This window comes from Homo sapiens, chromosome 2 (genome assembly GCF_000001405.40).
Source record: "Homo sapiens chromosome 2, GRCh38.p14 Primary Assembly".
Classification (NCBI taxonomy): Eukaryota; Metazoa; Chordata; class Mammalia; order Primates; family Hominidae; genus Homo; species Homo sapiens.
This window is the reverse complement of record NC_000002.12, coordinates 2,850,079-2,869,004: the sequence shown is the minus strand read 5'-3', so window position 1 is coordinate 2,869,004 and position 18,926 is coordinate 2,850,079. Positions and strand designations below refer to the sequence as shown.

At 49.7% G+C, this 18,926-nt stretch overlaps 1 annotated feature.

Moving 5' to 3' along the window:
* Nucleotides 17,371-18,278: an enhancer, noted in NCBI's record as "H3K4me1 hESC enhancer chr2:2854499-2855406 (GRCh37/hg19 assembly coordinates)". NCBI's record gives its function as "activates a minimal SCP1, AML or CMV promoter by ChIP-STARR-seq in primed H9 embryonic stem cells {active_cell/tissue: H9 hESC(primed)}" and the evidence as "EXISTENCE:reporter gene assay evidence [ECO:0000049][PMID:30033119]".

Genomic DNA, 18,926 nt, shown 5'->3' with positions numbered 1-18,926 from the left:
CCTCTGATGCTTGAGTTCTTTTTGTCCTATCCTGGCCAACTGGCACCTACCTCCCAGGGTTGCTGTGACAATCATATGAATTAATATATATTATAAAGCACATGGACTCGTTTCTGACACATGGGGGTGCAGCATCTGCGTTAGCTACTAGTGAGAGGCAATGGGGAAGGGCTCAGACACTTCCAACAGCCTTGTCTGCACCTGTCACTTACCGTGTGACCTTGGACAAGTTACTTAACCTCTCTGTGTTTCCGCTTCCTTATCTGCAAATTAATGATAATAATGGTGCCGACTTGCAGACTTCATGGTGGAACTTAAATAGGGCTGATTAGTGGATACACTGAGAGCTGCATTGAGCTATCTATAGACGTTTTGTGATTGTCTCCACTTTCTAGGATTGAACTTACTGCTCTATAAAGTGGGGATTCTGAGTCAAAATTTTAAAAGGTGATGTTTGCATGGAACTTTGCACTCTGCACAGCTCCACTCTTGGCATTAAGTCTTCTCTCAGGGAGAGCTGCTGGCATGTGGCATGTGGCATCCTTTTCCCTGGATTGGGACTGATGTGGCTGATGCCAGGAGTGGGGAACAGGAGGCTGACAGAGCCAAGCCCACGGTCTGATGAGGAGGACTGGGGTTGACTCCGGGGAGCTCCCGCGGGGCCACTGCTGCCCCAGTGGTTGCCTGGCAACAGCCTGTCCATCGCTCCTTCGAGCCCAGCCCTGAGGCTGCATGACTGCTGTCCCTGTGGTGCCTGTGATGAGAGTGTCCTGCATCCCCTTTACCCATTGACCAGATGGGAACAAGGGTTTCAGGGCCACCAGCCCCGTGGATGAGGACTGCTCAGTGCACACGGGGAGGCGCAGGAGGCAGGGGCAGCCAGTGGGGAACACTCACCAGGTTCCAAATGGCTTCATGCTCAGCAGCAAAGCATTTTCATCCTGGGTGGATCAAAATAAACACAAACTTCTTCCAGGCCCAACAATAGATTCTCTCCAAAACCAACAAAGAAACAGAAACTCAGTTTGCTTAACTTCGGATGAGCTGAGGAACACTCACACTTCTTTGTTTCCGGCATAAAATTATTTCCGCCACCTCCAACTTGTGCCCCAGCACGGAAACCCTCTTCACTTTATTATTCTGCCGAACTAGAGCAGGCAGAGCTCCTTTCTGTGAGTTCCAGGACACCTAATGTATATTTGGCAGGGTCTGTATGAAACCTTGGACAAGTCTCGGGGTAAAATGAATGTCTGGCTGGGAGTGTTTTATTCTCAGGAAGAGTGATGGCTACTTGGGTGTCCAGAGCCGCTTCCAGGTGAACAGCTGCGGATCCTCGCGGGTGGGCAGGGCATGTGGGGAGGGGGCGCCATCTGTGCCCCAGAGGCAGCTGCACCGGCTGACTGCAGGTCCTGCTTTGGGGCGTCCTCCTGTGCCATCCCAGACTTCCTAGCAGTTCAAAGTGCTGCATTCACGTTAGCGAAAAAGGCGGCCTTGCAGGTTGGAGGCTGTGGTCAAACTAAGCTGAGGCCATGGGGTTGAGCGATCTGACCACTTGCTCCAGGGGCAGGGGCCAGCACAGGCTCCGAGGAGCTGCAGCAGAAGACCATGAAGCCAGAGGAGGGTCAGGCGTCCCTGCAATCTCCACCTCGGCTCTGCCTCTCAGCCTCACTTGGCCTGAGCGCAGGAGGCCAGGTGCCTGAGGATGCGGCCATGGCTGCAGCTGCCTTGGGTTTCTAGAAAAGTTCTGAAGGTCGTGCCTGGTGTGACATAAACCATGTTACCTGTGAGGCATCTATTAGAGCTGGTAAGATCACTCCAGTCAGCAACTCCTTAAAAGTGGTGCTCTTCTCTTTGTTCTCTCTCCCCAGCCCAGGAAGCATCTGCTGTCAGCCCCGCCGAGCCTGGAGTCTGCCGGGATGCTTGAGGGGCTGGGGCTGGCCAGGTTGCAGACGTTGGGCGTTTCATCGAGGCAGTTTTTTGTAGTGTGGATGCTGGTTTTGGTACATTGTGCTCTATTGGGTGCTAAAGCCCTTTAGCATTTTCTCTTCCACCAAACTTCCAGGTGAATTAATGCAATGCTTGATGGACTAGCTGGTCATTGACAGATTGGTTGTGGAGTAACTAATTAATCCGTTGGTGCAGCAAACACTAACACTTTCCATCCTCGTTAGGAGCTCCACTAGATACTGAAATGCAGTGAGTGCAATAGGGCCATGGCCCCTTCTCCAGGCAATGCCAGTGGCGTGCAAGCCTTGGGGACGTAAGTGCTCCCTCCCGAGAGGACATGTGGGATGGGAGTGCGTTGGGGCCGCCACCTGGCACACTCTCAACAAGGCTTCCGGGAAAGCTGACTCTTTGATCCTGTTGTTTTTCACAGCTTTGTGGGAACGTGCTCAAAAGAACGGCAAAGCACCCAGGGACACGTGTGGCTTAAGGCCAGCTGACCGTGGCACATGCTGCACGTTGCTCCCCCTGCACCGATTCCTCCCATTCTTTTCCTAATAAAACACTGATTTTGTTCTCTGTGCACGCATGAGTTTCAGGCACCATTTCCCAGCCCAGGAAGAGAATCAGGATGTCATCTTTTCCTCTTGAAGCTTCTGCTTTCCTCTTCTGGACTGGAATTAAAACAGGAGGCTGGAGGTGAGGCAGCCATCTCGCAGCCATGAGGTGACCGTGGAGATGGAATCTATCGGGAGAGGAGAAGGGGAAAAGCCTGGGACATTGAGGCGTCAGGGGGACCCCACCCCACCCCAGACAGGGGCCCTCACACCACCCCAGACAGACAGGGGACCCCACACCACCCCAGACAGAGGCCCGACACCACCCCAGACAGACAGGGGACCCCACACCGCCCCAGACAGGGGCCCTCACACCACCCCAGACAGACAGGGGCCCCCACACCACCCTAGACAGACAGGGGCCCCCACACCACCCCAGACAGTGGCCTGACACCACCCCAGACAGACAGGGGACCCCACACCACCCCAGACAGGGGCCCCCACACCACCCCAGACAGACAGGGGCCCCCACACCACCCCAGACAGACAGGGGCCCCCACACCGCCCCAGACAGACAGGGGACTCCACACCACCCCAGACAGGGGACCCCACACCACCCCAGACAGGGGCCTGACACCACCGCAGACAGACAGGGGCCCCCACACCACCCCAGACAGACAGGGGCCCCCACACCACCCCAGACAGGGGCCCGACACCACCCCAGACAGGCAGGGGACTCCACACCACCCCAGACAGGGGACCCCACACCACCCCAGACAGGGGCCCGACACCACCCCAGACAGGCAGGGGACCCCACACCGCCCCAGACAGGGGCCCTCACACCACCCCAGACAGGGGCCCCCACACCACCCCAGACAGCGGCCTGACACCACCCCAGACAGACAGGGACCCCACACCACCCCAGACAGGGTCCCCACACCACCCCAGACAGACAGGGTCCCTACACCACCCCAGACAGACAGGGGACTCCACACCACCCCAAACAGGCAGAGGGCCCGACACCACCCCAGAGAGGCAGGGGACTCCACACCACCCCAGACAGACAGGGGACTCCACACCACCCCAGACAGGCAGGGGACCCCACACCACCCCAGACAGATGGGCCCCCACACCACCCCAGACAGACAGGAGACCCCACACCACCCCAGACAGACAGGAGACCCCACATGACTCCAGACAGACAGGGGTCCCCACACCACCCCAGACAGGGGTCCCCACACCACCCCAGACAGACAGGGGACTCCACACCACCCCAGACAGACAGGGGACTCCACACCACCCCAGACAGGAGACGCCACACCACCCCAGACAGGAGACGCTACACCACCCCAGACACACAGGGGACTCCACACCACCCCAGACAGACAGGAGACCCCACACCACCCCAGACAGACAGGAGACCCCACACCACCCCAGACAGACAGGAGACCCCACACCACCCCAGACAGACAGGGGCCTCCACACCACCCCAGACAGACAGGAGACACCACACCACCCCAGACAGACAGGGGACCCCACACCAGCCCAGACAGGGGCTCCCAGGTTTCCTGGAGCTGTGGGAAATAAACCCTCATCTGCTGTGCTACTCCCAGGCTTGCTCCTAGGCAGCCAACACCGTCCCTTTAGAACCCAAAATATCTGAGACAGGTCTCAGTCAATGTAGAAAGCTTATTTTGCCAAGATTAAGGGTGTGCCTGTGGCACAGCCTCAGGGGGTCCCGACGACACGTGCCCAGGGTGGTCGGGTGCAGCTTTCACACATCAGTCAGTATGTGTACGATGCAGCTTTGACACATCAGTTAGTATGTGTACGATGTCCACTGGTTCCGTTGGGTAAGGTGGGACAACTCGAAGTGTCCCACTAGGTCATAAGCAGAGAAGAGACACAAGATTGCATTCTTCTGAGTCCTTGATCACCTTTCCACTGAATACACAACTTAGTCTGGCCCAGTGAATCTGCATTTTTACATAAACAATAGGGCAGAGGAAGTCATCAGATACACATTTGCCTCTGGGGAGCCTCAGGGGGATGACTTTGAGTTCTGTCTGTCCTTTGTCCATAAGGAGTTTCCTTGTGGGCAAATTGTGAGGGAGGTCTGTAGCTTCTTGTCTTGCAGAGACCTTATTTAGGACTAGAATGGGAAGCAGCTTTGCCTGATGCAGTTCCCAGCTTGTCTTTTGCCTTGGCTGAGTGATTTGGGGTCCCGAGGTTTCTTTTCCTTTCACAGACACAGTGCTATTCGGAGCTAGGGAAAGGTGGTGAGCATGCCTCTCCTGTGTGGCCACCTCAGGAGGGCTGGGGCATGACTCCACCATGGCTGTGCATAGGCTCGGAACCCAAGCTGGCAAATAATCGGTGATGGCAGGCCCTGGTGCTCATCCCATCTATCCAGGCACCGGTGTTCAATTTCACGGACAGCATCATCTTCAGGAGTGCAGACTTGGAGGTGGGTCTGAATCGAGCTCAGCCATTTTCATCAGTGTGGCCCTGGGCAAGTGGCTGAACTGTTGCAAGCTCCTTTCCTCCATCTGTACAATGATGTGAGTGACGGTGCCTCCCTTTGTGGGGTTGCTAGGCATTCAATGAGATAATTGGGAAGTACTTAGTGTTCGTTGATTATTATTGATATGAGTGTTCTTAAGAAACATAAACATCCTCTGCTTCCTGTTCATGTGCTCCAAAACCCACCAACAAATTCCATCCTCTCCCAGTATCCACTCCCGGGGAGCTGAACTCAGGGCTGTTGGAGCCACGCCTCAGGTCATTCATGCCGTCGTGGGCAAATCAGTCTCCCTGGGTCTCAGTTTCCTCATCTATAAGATGAGATGTTTGTACTAGATTGATTTCCAGGTCCTTTTTGTTGGAAGGTCCTGTGATTTTTATCATTCTCTGTACACAATTCTATTACAAGGGAAAAGTGGTTTAAAGCAGGCAAGTTTCCCTTGCTACCTAAAGATGTCACTACATCAACTTTGCATCTTTTATTAGCATACTTTTTCTTAAGTCTCCATTGGTTGAGCAAAAAGAGATGAAATTCGCATTGATTTTCTCAAGAAAACTACATCCACTTGCCTGGTTTGAGGATGTTTTTACCAAGGGTGGGTCCTGAGGTTTCTGTTCCCCGCTGGCCTATACAGACATGGCCATGCTTCCTGGCGTGACTTTCATCAGATGGTAACAGCTTCACCCTGTCTTGGGAGGATGGCGCCATTCTTCACTACCTCTTGGGCTGTTGACTCTTTGATTTTATTTTGCTGTCTGACTTTATAAATTATATTATGATATTTTTCAACACTGTGGATCAGTCTACCAGCCCATGGGCACCTGCACCAGAGGGTTTTACAGAAAGTGCAGGATTGGTGGGGTGCTATTGTTCCTTTCTGAGCAGGTAGAATCTTTGCCTCTCAAGCTGCCCAGACAGGTTTAAGAGGTGGTGACTTGGCGGGTGACCAGCACTGATGGTGTCTCTCTCAAAAATGACGACCCTCTGACTGTCCTTGGCTGTGATGGTCTCATCTTATTTGGACATTTAAGCTCCTCCTCTGGGTTGGGTAATACAGTTGGAGCTGTGGAGATACAGCTCTGAGAGGCAGTGTCTGCTGTGCCTGTGAGCTGTGTTGTCCCCTGAGGGTGCGAACCACTAAGTCTCAGCTTGGTCTTTTATTAAAGGACAGAGCATTTGATGTCCACCTTTGTCCATTGTGGGGCTCCAGGCAGTCTGTGTGGCCCCAGTGCTCACTGATGAGTTGTGTGTGTTTGTATAATGTGGATTCTGGGGGGATGCAAGAGTCGGAATTTCTGTCAGGTTGTCTGGTGTGTAGCCCTCCCTGCACAGTGGGGTGCCACCCGCAATAGCACATACAATAATCTACTGGGATATGGTGCCTGGATCTGATGGGCCCTGGGTGCAGGCCTCCGGACTCAGAGCACCTGGATCCCATGGGCCCTGGGTGCAGGCCTCCGGACTCAGAGCACCTGGATCCCATGGGCCCTGGGTGCAGGCCTCCAGACTCAGAGCACCTGGATCCCACGAGCCCTAGGTGCAGGCCTCTGGACTCAGAGGTCAGCTTCCTGAAGTCTGGGGGGAAGTGCTGTCCTACTGGCATGGCTTGGAGACAAGTGGGACAGCTGATTTCTTTGCACCATCTTTCTTTCTACTTTGGAGCACAGAGCATCTGGAATTCCTGAGGTTGGTCCTACACAGGGTTTTTCCATCTATTTTTAACTGAAGTAGCTCTTACAGTGTGAAAGCGTTTGGCTGAAGGTGACAGAAATTTCACAGTAGGAAGAAGGTGTGGTGCTGCGTGTTCCCCTCATAGAAGCGTCCTGAGGTCGTGAGGCCCTCGACGAGCTCCCTCGGGGTGGCTCCTGTCCTGTGGTGGCTCCTGCTGTCCCTCATCATGCAGTGGGCACTCCCAGGTTCACATCCCAGTGGGGCCCCAGCCTGGCTCTCCCCTAGTGAGCCGTGCTCCCTCTGCCACTCTGGGTCACTGCTTCGCACCCTTCTGTGACAGCCCTACCCCTCTGAAGCCCGGCTGTCCGTGGCCTTGGCCTTGCCCTCTTCCTCTGGTCACTATGGAGTTTGAGCTCACCGCTGACTTCCTCCGGGGCCAGGGCATCTGCTCATGGCCCCAGCCCCTGCCTGCTGCCCGCATCATCGGCACCTCTGCATTCACAAGCCGGGAAGTGTGAGCTGGGAAGCCTGGGTGTGGGGAGCAGATGAGGGAACAGCCTAGGAGGCAAAGGACTGCAGGGAGACAGAGACGGCTGGAGGCCCCGCCAGTCACACAGTCGGAAGAAGCAGAAGGCCTGTAGCCGTACTGTCCCCATCTCCTGTGAAATTCTGTGAAGTGTCGTGCACCTGTCTGCATAACCACAGTGGTTCCCTGTTGTCCTTTTGTCAGTTGCAGCACGCTAGGAGGAAAGGTGTGGTTGGAGAAAGATTTTTAAAAGGCCCTTATTGACCTCTCCTGGGGTTTCTGAACCACCGATGACCGATGCCCCTAAATGACCCAAGAGCAAGAGGTTGCAGAGAAACCACAAGCAGAGCCAGAATGGACTCCCAGGAAGTATGGGCAGGGAGAAAATCAAGACGTGAAGTGGGAGAAAGGCTGGTGTCCCTTTCTTCTCTTTTATGTCTGAGCCTTATTCAGAACAGGCATTTGGAGTAAGATGAATGCCATCCTTCTCCTCCCCTGGTGGGCCCATTCACTCACTGGCCCAAACCCTGTCCTGAGCCCCGTCCTGAGCACTGTTTAGGGCCAGAGTCTGTGGCCAGGCTGCACCTTCACCTGCGAGGGGCCCAAGTATCCCAAAGGCCCACTCTGCTGAGCAGGGGACACGACTGTGAACATCTGGGGAGAGGCTGCCCGGGCCCCTGCGCCCCGGCCTGCTTGAGGCTGCCTGGCTCACATTCCCTGGCCCTACCCCTTTCCCAGGACACTGGGGAGAGCTCCCTCTGGGCAGGCCATGGGCCCTGATGAAACCACCCTTCCAGGGTCTCTCTCCTCCTCCACCTTGTTCCTCTCAATCACTATCGCGCGTTCCCTGTCAACGTTCACTCTATCATGTGACACTCTGCCACACGTTATATATCACACACTCTCACGCATCGACAATCTCACGTTCACTCCACCTCACGTTCACCTTCACACATTCACTCTAGCTCATGTTTACTGTCACGTGCTCACTCTATCACGTGTTCACTCTATCACGTGTTCACTCTATCACATGCTCACTCTATCACACATTCACTCTCATGTTCACTCCATCTCACAACCACTCTCACACATTGACTCTGTCACACCTTCACTCTATCTCATGCTCACACTCATGCATTGACTATCACACATTCACGCCATCTCATGTTCACTCTCGTGTGTTCACTATCCCATGTTCACTCTATAATGTGTACACTCTATCACACATTCATGTTATGTGTTCATCATCTCATGTTCACTTTCATGCATTCACTATCCCGTGTTCATTCTGTAATGTGTCCACTCTATCACACGTTTGTGTTATCATGTGTTCATTACACGTTCACTCTACCACATGATCACATGTTCACAATCACACCTTCTCTGTCATGCATTAACTCTATCACATGTTCACTCTGTCACATGTTTGCTCTATCACATGTTTACCATGAGTTCACTATCACATGTTCACTGTCATGCATGGACTATCACATATTCACTGTACCACATGTTCTCTACTATGCAGCCTCTCTCACGCATTTGCTCTATTACATGTTCACTCAATTACACGTACATTCCATCCCACAGTTGCACAGTTGTGCTATCATGTGTTCACTATTACATGTTCACTCTCATGCATTCACTCTCACGTGTTCACAGCATCACACTTCCACTCTCATGCTTTCACTTTATCACGTGTTCCCTCTATCACATGTCCACTCTATCACATGTTCACTCTGTCATGCATCCACTATCATGCATTTGCTGTACCATGTGTTCACTATCACGTGTTCAGTGTGTCATGCTTTCACTCTATCACATGTTCACTCTATCACACGTTAACTCTCATGCATTCACTCTCATATGGTCACTCTATCACGTGTTCAATGTATCATGCGTTCACTCTATCACATGTTCACTCTATCACACGTTAACTCTCATGCATTCACTCTCATATGTTCACTGTATCACGTGTTCAATGTATCATGCATTCGCTCTCACATGTTCACTCTATCACACGTTAACTCTCATGCATTCACTCTCATGTGTTCACTGTATCACGTGTTCAATGTATCATGCGTTCACTATCACACTTAACTCTCATGCATTCACTCTCATGTGTTCTCTATCAGATATTCAGTGTTTCACGCCTTCACTCTGTTACACACTCTATCACATGTTTGCTCTATCATGTGTCCACTATCACACTTTTCCTCTATCGTGTGTTGAGCATATCACGTGTTTGCTGTCACACACCCACTCTATCAAGCATGTGTTCACTATCGTGCACTAACTCTATCACACTTTCTCTACCATGCGTTCCCTCTGTCATTTGTTCAGTGTATCACTTGTTCACTCCATCACTCGTTTGCCCTCTTGTGTGTCTGTGCCGTCACCGCGCCAGCCTCTGCCTGCGCCGTCACTGCGCCAGCCTCTGCCTGCGTGCTCTGGAGCAGGCTGCCTAACTATCCTGTACCTCAGCATCCTAGTCTCTGCGACTGGAGAGGTGACTCCTATGGGAAGGGCTCAGATCCCCATCAAGGCTGGGTGTTATTAGTGTAATGCCCAGAGCTAGAGAAGGGGAAGCGCCATGTTTGGAGGTTGGGTCCAGAGGATTCGCCAGCAGAGCAGATGTAGGATGCAAAGGACAGAGGAATCAGGAATGAATTATTAATTCTTGTGGCCTGGGTAATGATGGGGATAGGATCTCTTTATCAATGTGGATATCAGATAGGAAGTGGTCTGAGCTGGGGGAAGACAGGAAGGGAGATGGATTTGGGGGAAATCAAGATTTAAATTTTAAAATGGTATTTTGAGATGTGTGTGAAATTCTGATTGTAGAGGTTGGAAGGTGTTGCGTGAAGAGTCTAGGGCTTATGACAGGAGTGATGACTGGAAATATAAAATGGGGATTTGTCAGCTGTAGTGACATTTAAAACCATGGGATTGAATAGCATCACAAAGACAGCACGTGGGGATGAGAGAGGAGGGCTGAGGGCTGAGGAGCTCTGGGGTGGGGATGTCCAGGGAGGAGGCTCTTTGGAGATCTTTGGTCCTCTCACCCACTTCACAGAGGCGGGAGCTCATAACCTTCCACTGGATGAAGCTCTCTCTTGGCAGCGAGGGACTTTCTGAGGGACGGTCAGAGGCCAAGAAGCACTCCCCTTTCTTTGGCCTGCTTACCATTGCAGCGCTGAGATGTTGCCTTAAAGAATTAAGGGCTAAATCTTGCCTCCTTGGAGGGAATGATTTAACCTGTAAACTTATGAGCAAATCAGAGAAAGGTGAAGAAGAGAAAGGCTGCAGGGCACTCAGGCCTGAGAAGGCAATGCTCATGTTCCCTCTTTAGTTTTTAAACTTAATTCTATTTGGTGATTACCCAAACAGTATACCCTCATTGGAAAACATTTGAATATTGTAGAAAGTTATAAAAAAGTAAAAAATCATCCTTTAACCATCCACGCAGAGATAAATACTATTGTCTTCTCCTATACATTATTCAAGTCTTTCTTCTATGGAAATTTTCTTTCCCTCAAATGGTAGATATACTTTTGTATACTATCTTATGCATCACACATTATCATGAGTGTTTTTCTAGGTAATTGAAAACTTTTTAAAGAAGTGACATTTTTAAAGGTAATATAATATTGCATCAAATTAAATTACATCACATAATATCTTGTTTAGAAAATTTCCTGCTGTTAGACCTCAATGTTTTCCCCAGAGAAAGGATCAGCATTTGTAATTTGATGGCAAAAACAACTAGTTATGACAAAACCAGTCAAATAAGAGCTTTCTCCGTCCTGCCACCAGTGACCCATCCTTCTATTCTGCACTTTCCTCAATGAAGGTGTCCTGGATAGAGGAAGTCTGTACTCTGGGAAGAGACCAATTTTAAACTGGGTAAAAGCCTATAGTTTTGATATTATATTTGATTGGATTTCCTATTATCTGCAATTGACTAGAGAACTTCTTATGACCCAAGAGTGTCTTGAAGAGTTCTGGGTCCTGTCCACGTCGTTGTTGAGAGTTAGGAGAAAGTAGTTAAGGGAGCAGTTTTGTAAGACAATAAGGCAATGGAGTAAAGGAGTACAGCAGCTTTCTGTTTCCAGCGTGCTATCCATGTCTTCCAATACACTGATCACACCACACAACTTTGGGTCAAAACTTCTGTTAGTATTTTATATTCTTTCTTTTTATCAAAGAATATGAAGTTTTAAAAATTCTTAATAAGCACAGGAAATTGCTCTCTAGAAAGGTTAAAAAAAGCATAGATCTTCTGGAAGTATCTAATAGAGCATTTGGTAAAGTTTGCTTCTATAACTACTTTCCAACATTGGCAATGACCTATTAAAACAGATCTTTTTATTTTAATTTTTTTTAATCAGTGGAGGTGGCTGTTTTGTATACATTGATTAAACATTTGTATTTCCTCTCTTATGAAGGGTACATTTCAACATCTGGTAATGAGCAGAAACAGGCCAGATTATTGGCAGCTGTAGGTGGCTGGGTTAGGTTGTAGGTGAGTGATAACATTACTAATAGTAGCTAAGTAACGTGACTGAGCACTTAGTGTGCCAGACCCCATGAGGGAGAGCCCTCTGGATCATGCACTAGACACGTTTCATGAAATGTCCTCACCCAAAGCCTCCTGGGTGGCACTGTAGAAGCACAGCATCCCTTCGGGATGTTAGGCAACTGGTGGGGGCCCAAAAGCAGCTTCCAACATGGAGTTCAGTTAAGTACTGGCAATGATCCTATCAGAGCTCATGCCTGTTCCCATGATGATCAATTCCATTTTGTTCTTATGCCTAAATATGGGCAGAAATAGCAGAGGACAAGGAGGAACTGGCTGCCTGCTTACCTTCCTGGAGAGTTCTGAGGAGGTGGATGGATGTGGGAAGTTTCAGTTCAGGTTAAGAAATACTACTAGATACCTCCTCTGGTAGAGGCACTGCTGTGTCACTCATAAGCACAAGTGGTAAGAATATTCTAATACAGAATATCAGAAAAACAGAAGCCACTCTAAGTATCTTCAAGCAGTAAGGAAATAATACAGGGAGATATATATATATATATATATATATATATATATATATATATATATATATATATATATATACACACACACACAGACATAATAAGTCCTTGGGGAGTGATAGCCAGGAAGGCCACTGCTTGCTCTCAGGATATCCAGACAGGTGTGAGTTAATGGGAAGCTGACAAGGAGAGGAGGAGGCTGTAGGCATTGCAGGGACACCACCAAAATACCTGCTCCAGAGTCCAGAGTGGGTGATTTCAATGAAAGTGCCTGGAAGCTGGTGGAAAAATCCTACCTCTGCCAGCCGACCGCTGACAAATATACGCCAGCCCGTGATTGCTTATGAGAAATATATCGTTTTTCCTTTCCTGCATCCTAAATTTTATGTGAATGACTTTCATTGGACCTCTGCCTGTCAGGGAGTCTGTGAAGCATGGGAATACGGGGTATCGCTGTCACACAGTTCTGTGACTTGGAGGTGATTCAGTAGAAACGAATGTGCTGAGAGGAGTACGCAGAGAGGGCATGGAACCTGAAAGACCCTTGCTGAACCCGAGAGCTTCCTGGAAGTGTAAAGTTTGACTTGAGGTTTTTTATTATTATTATTTTTTGGATGTCTGGGCCTTTGATATGGGGCTGTACTTACATATCCAGAAAGCAGATTGAACTGCATGGACAGACACATGAAGACAAGATTTAGATTTTCCTGCAAATATCTCTAGCTTCAGGGAAAGTTGGGATTAAGTGGGACAGGACTGGAGCCATGGAAACTAGAAATCCTGATGAAATCTGTTAGGGGCCTGGTCTCAGGTAGTGGAAATGGAGAGACAGGAGACATTTAACATGTATTTTGGAGGTGGAATTACAAGGACATAGAGATCAAATGGATGGGATCGGCGGGGGAGATATGAGAAGGGGAGAAGCTTACTGTGGACCCCTTCGTGGTTGGCTTGGATGAGTCAACAGTGATGCCATTGACTTGGAGCAGGAATAAAACATAAAGGGCCAGGTTTTGTGGGAAAGAGAGTGACTTATGTTCGGGACTTGTAGAGCTTGAAGTATTTGTGGAACATTCAAGTGACTTGACAAGTCAACAGTCAGGTCTGGGAACAAGTCTCCAATTTAGGCAGCAACAGGACTTCAGGTGCAGAATTGCTCGTCTACTGCATGGATGTGGAAATGAAAACCATGAGTGCCGATGAGATCAGTCAGGGAGGGCATGTAGAAGGTGAAGTCTGATTCAGAATTCGCTGTGGTGGGAGGGCATGTAGAAGGTGAAGTCTGATTCAGAATTCGCTGTGGTGGGAGGGTCCATTATAGGACTCACTGAATTACTGAGATTAAAAATGAGATGACTTTGTCTTCACCAAAATTTCGTAATAATCACTGATAGCTTTCTAAAATTGGACAATGTGCAAAGCATTATTGCATGCACTGCCCACTGCTAGCTTATGATTTTTATCTCTTTCACAGATGAGGAAACTGAAGCTCAGAGGATTTTAGGTCAGACAACCAGTAAATGGGTGAAGCGGTTCTGCCCAGCCCCTCCACCTCTTCTTTGTTTCTTCCTAAGTCATGTCATGACCTTCTGTCCCACACTTATGTTTTCTCATGGGTCAAATGCGTTACACCCCCCAGAATTTTGCAAAATCACTTTACAAAACACTGACAGTAACATGGGAATTGCTCCCCACTTATTACAGATAAATGCATCCAGAACTTCACCGATGGTCATAGGGTGAAAGTTGAATGTGCCCATTGTAATTACATCAGTGTTAGCAATAGCGTGAGTTGTTTGCTTAAAATGATTGGAAATTGTTTATTTTTCACGTGAAAGTGGAGGAGGTTGAGAATGATCATTGCAGAGTCTTCATGCAGAGACAAGCATGTGGCTTTCTTGAGCGCTCATAGTTTTCAGGGTCACTGTTACAGTGGTAGCTCGGAAAACAGGATGTTCGAAGTAAAATTAAAGATTAAATATTAAGTCTGAGGGTCTCAGAATCCACCTGTATACCTCCTTATTGTTGACCCTTTATCCTATCTTCAGTTGTAGCTGCTACATAGTTGAGAGTCTCAAAAACCTCTTCGGATTGTTTGACAAAATATCATAGAGTCTGCCCCGTGGATGGAGTTTTGGATGAAGTTATAGAAGCCTAAACTGCAAATAAAAAATAATCAGATCATTGGCTGTAAGATTCATCCAGTCCAACTTTCCATGTCTGGCGCTGGCCTTGTAAGCAGGACATGGAAGGTGCAATTGGGATCATCCCTTTGTTCCTTCAGTACATCAGTCAGCCTTGGGGCACAGAAAGTGTGCTACTGAGCCAGGCTTTTGAGCCATCAGAAATGTGCAGGTGGGCAGGGGAGGAAGGAAGCTATCAATATTGAGATCTACTCAGAGACAGGCATGGGCTCAGGGCTTTCAAATGCTATTTCATTTTGTTTTGTAACAACTCCAGAGGGATGTGAATATGCTGGAGTTGTCGGTAAGGAACTCAAGACCGGGAGGGATGAAGAGTCAAGGCTGCATAAGTGTCCAGCTATGAACGCAAGCTAATCAGCCTTTGAGGCGTGGGCTCTGCGACGTCCTCATGTTCCCCAGTGGCTCTCTCCAGGCCTTCATGTATGCCATGTCCACGCTGACAGCTGATAGGTGCCACACTCAGGCTGCAGAATCCAGTCCGCTCTGTGTCTCCCCACATCCTCATGGATGAGGTGTTCCTCCTAGAGCTCATTTATCTCCTTCTCTTCCTGCAAAACTTCCCCGTTTTCGAAGATCTGTTTCTAGATCTATTTTAAATGATCTATTTCTAAAATTCCTTAATATACTAAGTTTATTTTACTCGTTGTCAATAATATGGTCTCATTTTGCATTTAATTCATTTATTTGTCCATATATCCATTCTTTATTTATCCAGTTTTCATTGACTAAATTTTTTTGGGGGACTCTCAGATGTTATGAGCTGAGAATATAACATGAGAAAACACAGCCCATGGCTGCTGGAGACGTTTTGTAGCTGGGGAGACTCACATTACACACAGAATTATAATGGAATATAAGTGTTGTAATAATTCAGGAGATTGGCAGCATTAATTCTAGAGTTAAGCAGAAAGGTCAGAGATGGAGAGTGGTAAAAGCTTTGGAAACAGAGCTTTGAAATAAGGTGGAAAAGATGAGAAGGAGCTACCCTGGCCCCATTCCAGGTGGCTTAGGAGAACTCTGCATAGAGAATGCACAGAGCCCACAAGGTCAGGAAGCGCATGGAACAATCTCTTTTCTGTGTAACTGAAGCCTAAGTGTGCATGTGTTTGTCAGTGTGTGGTGTGTGTTTGTGTTTGTGCATGAATATATGTGTGTGTATGCATGTGTGTAGTTTGCATTTGTGAATGTGGTGTGTATATATGTGGGTGTATGTGTGTGTGTATGTGCTCATGTATGGTGTACGTGTGTGCATGCATGCATGCATGTAGTGTGGTTGTACATGTGTGCACATGTTTGTGTGTCTCTCTGTGTATGCAGTGTGTGTGTATATTGTGTATATGTGTATACATATGTGTATATGTGTATGCAGATGTGTGGTGTGTGTTTGTGTGTATGTCCATGTATATGTCATGTGTGTCTGTATGGGTGTGCACATGTTTGTGTGTTTATTCATATATATGTGTTTGTGTGTATGTATGTGATTCTATATGTATTTGTGTGTTTTTGTGTCTGTGTATCTACAGTGTGTGCATGTATCTGTGTGTACGTGTGTGTGGTATATGTTTGTGTATGCATATGTGTGTATGCATGTGTGTGGTGTGTGTGTCCATGTGTATAAATGTGTGTATGTATGTGCGTGGTGTTTGTGCATGTATGCATGTGTGTGTGTTTGTACATAAGTGTATGTGGTGTGTGTTTGTGTGTGTGCTTGTGTATATATGTTTGTATGCATGTATATGGTGCATGTTTGTGTGTATGTGTGTAGTGTATGTGTATGTGTGTGTGTGGTGTATGCTTGTACATGTGTATGTGTGTTCCTGTGTTTGTGTGTATATGTGTGTATGTGGTGTGTGTCTATACGTGTGCTGTGTTTGTGTATGTATGCCTGTGTTTGTGTGTATATATGTGTATGTGGTGTGCATTTATGCATGTGTTTCTGTGTGTGTGTGTGTGTCCATGTGTATGTGTGTGGTGTTTCTCCATGCATGCATGTGTTTGTATATACGTGCATGTGTGTATGTGGTGTGTGTATGTGTTTCTGTGTGTATGTGTGGTGGGTGTGTCCGTGTGTGTGTGTGGTGTTTGTGCGTGTATGCAATTGCTGGTGTGTATATATGGACATGTGTTTATGTGGTGTGTGTGTGTGTTCATGTGCTTCGTGCGTTTGTGTATGTATGTGGTATGTGCTCATGTATGGTATGTGTTTGTGTTGATGCGGCGTGTGGGGAAGAAGTGAGAGCTGAGGCCACCATCACGTTAACAGCTCTAACGTGGTCACACGCAGCCAGGAAAAGCCATGGAACGCGGCCATAAAATGAGTGGCTGCAGCTTTTCACCTTGCCTTGCTCGTGGGAGCAGAATATGTGTCCCAGTCCTTGCCTTGGCCCAGAGGCAAATGGGTGGAAGTGGCCGTGCTCTGAGCTTGCTTCAGCCTGCTGTCTCCTGCATCTCTGTTCTCCGGAGCCTCTGCCTTGCCCTGTGGAACAAAGCACTGTTAACTGCGTGGCTTAAAACAGCAGGAGTGTGCTCCCTCCCAGTCCTGGACACAAGAAGTTCAAATCAAGGCATCTGCAGGGCCTGCTCACTCACTGACGGGGGCACCCTTCTCTGGGTCCCTGCCTTCTGGCGTCAGTCCCGTCTCCGCCTTCGTCCTTACAGAGTGCTCTCCTTCCCGAGTGTCAGTCTCTCTCCTCTTCTGAGGACATCAATCGTTTTGGACCAGGGCCCACCCTAGTGACCTCCTAACTTGATGACACCTGCAAAGATCGTATTTCCAAATAAAGTCAGGTTCACAGGTACTTGGGGGTAGGGCTTTGACATATCCTTTTGGGGAACATTCTCGACCCATCATGGCTGACCCCTGGTTCAAGCAGGTGGGGCGGGGGGCGCTGAGGGAACTACCCGCAGCTGGAAGCAGAGCTGCTCTGTGAACCTGCCCAGGGCCTGTGTACACTCCTGAGTCTTGGGGCAATTCCTTATGCAGTGTCCCGGAGGGGAGGGAGGGACAGCTGGGAGGAAGAGGAGAGGAGGGTGAAACCCAGGAGGGAGCCTGTCTCCAGAGGCTGTGCGTGCGAGGGGCAGAGGCTGAGCTAGGGGAGTCACTGAGGGGCCTAGAGAAGAGGATGATGTAATGGGGTCTGTATTTAAAAATAATTCTGCTGACCCCCGGTTGGCAGGAGACATGGCTGGACCTGAGGCAGGCCCTCCGTTCTACCTTCAGTCCGATGGGGACCTGGGGCCCAGGGCACCTTTTGTCCCCTGACCCTCACAGATGGCCCCAGACATGTGCCCCCCATGCAGGAGAGCAAACGGTGGGGGGTGTCGCCTGGTTACAGTGATAAACTGCCTTTAGAAAGGGGACCTGAGCCTTCACAATGGTTAGCATTCTCCCTGGTAGGGACTCTAGGGGAGGCTGCCGCCTTCACAACCCCCCTATGCTGCATAATGATGGTAATTTTGCCCTTGAGGCTGTGAAGCCCTGACACAAATGAAGCCTTACTACCGGGAAAGGCTTGGCTCTGTGGTGTGCAGGTGCCCGCAGTGGCTGTTAGCAGTGATTTAGGCCGAGTGACAGGAGCAGGCTGGCTGAGCGGGGAGGGGCAGAGGTCCTCAAAAGGCACCCACTGACTTCATCATTTTGTTCTGAGAGGGCCCTGCATATCTCCAATGTCCCCCAAAACAACAAACGGGGGGGTCTGGTTACGTGTGTTCCGCGGATCCTGAAATAACTCATTCCGCGGGATTCATGGGGCACCTGCTTGTGCTAGGAGTAAGTGGCAGGTGGGGGTGGCAGGTGGATGAGCAGCGCCGGTGGGTACCCTGATGGCTGACACAGGCGGCCTCATGTTCCTGAAAGGCTCCGCAGAGGAGCGGAGGCCTGGCCTTCCTCGCGAGGGGTGGACCGGGACGGGTGGCCAGGCATCAGGAGCAGCAGAGGAGCCGTTCCCTGACACGCAGTGACTTGATCCATCCAGGACGCATCTGGGGCGCATCTCTGTGGCAGGATGGCTCTCTGCAGGGGGCAGTGGGCAGGGCTTCTGCAGAAACCCTGAGGAAGGCTTCCCCGGTGACTGGGAGCAGGAAGGGTGTCTGTGTGTGCTCTGGGGCTGGCCTCTGCTATTGACACTTGCTGTGAAGCGGGGCTCCCGCAGTGTCAGTGCAGCTGGACCTGGCCTTCCAGAGCAAGAGTGCAGGCTGTCAGAGCCCGGGAGCTGCGCAGGATGGGCACCTCAGGTGTTCCAGGAAGGGCAGCCACACGGGGGTGGGAAAGGCCGGGCTGGGCCAGGAGGACCCTGCCCCAAGACGCCCCTCCTGTGCTGCGCAGTCTTGGTGGCTGCAGATTCCCACTTACCTGTGATTTGGGGTGACTTCCTCACCTGTGAAGGAGGGGCTGCTGAGAGCACCGGCCTCTCCAGCCCTGTCGGCGAGGTCCCTGCCTCACGCTTCCACTTAGGAGGCTC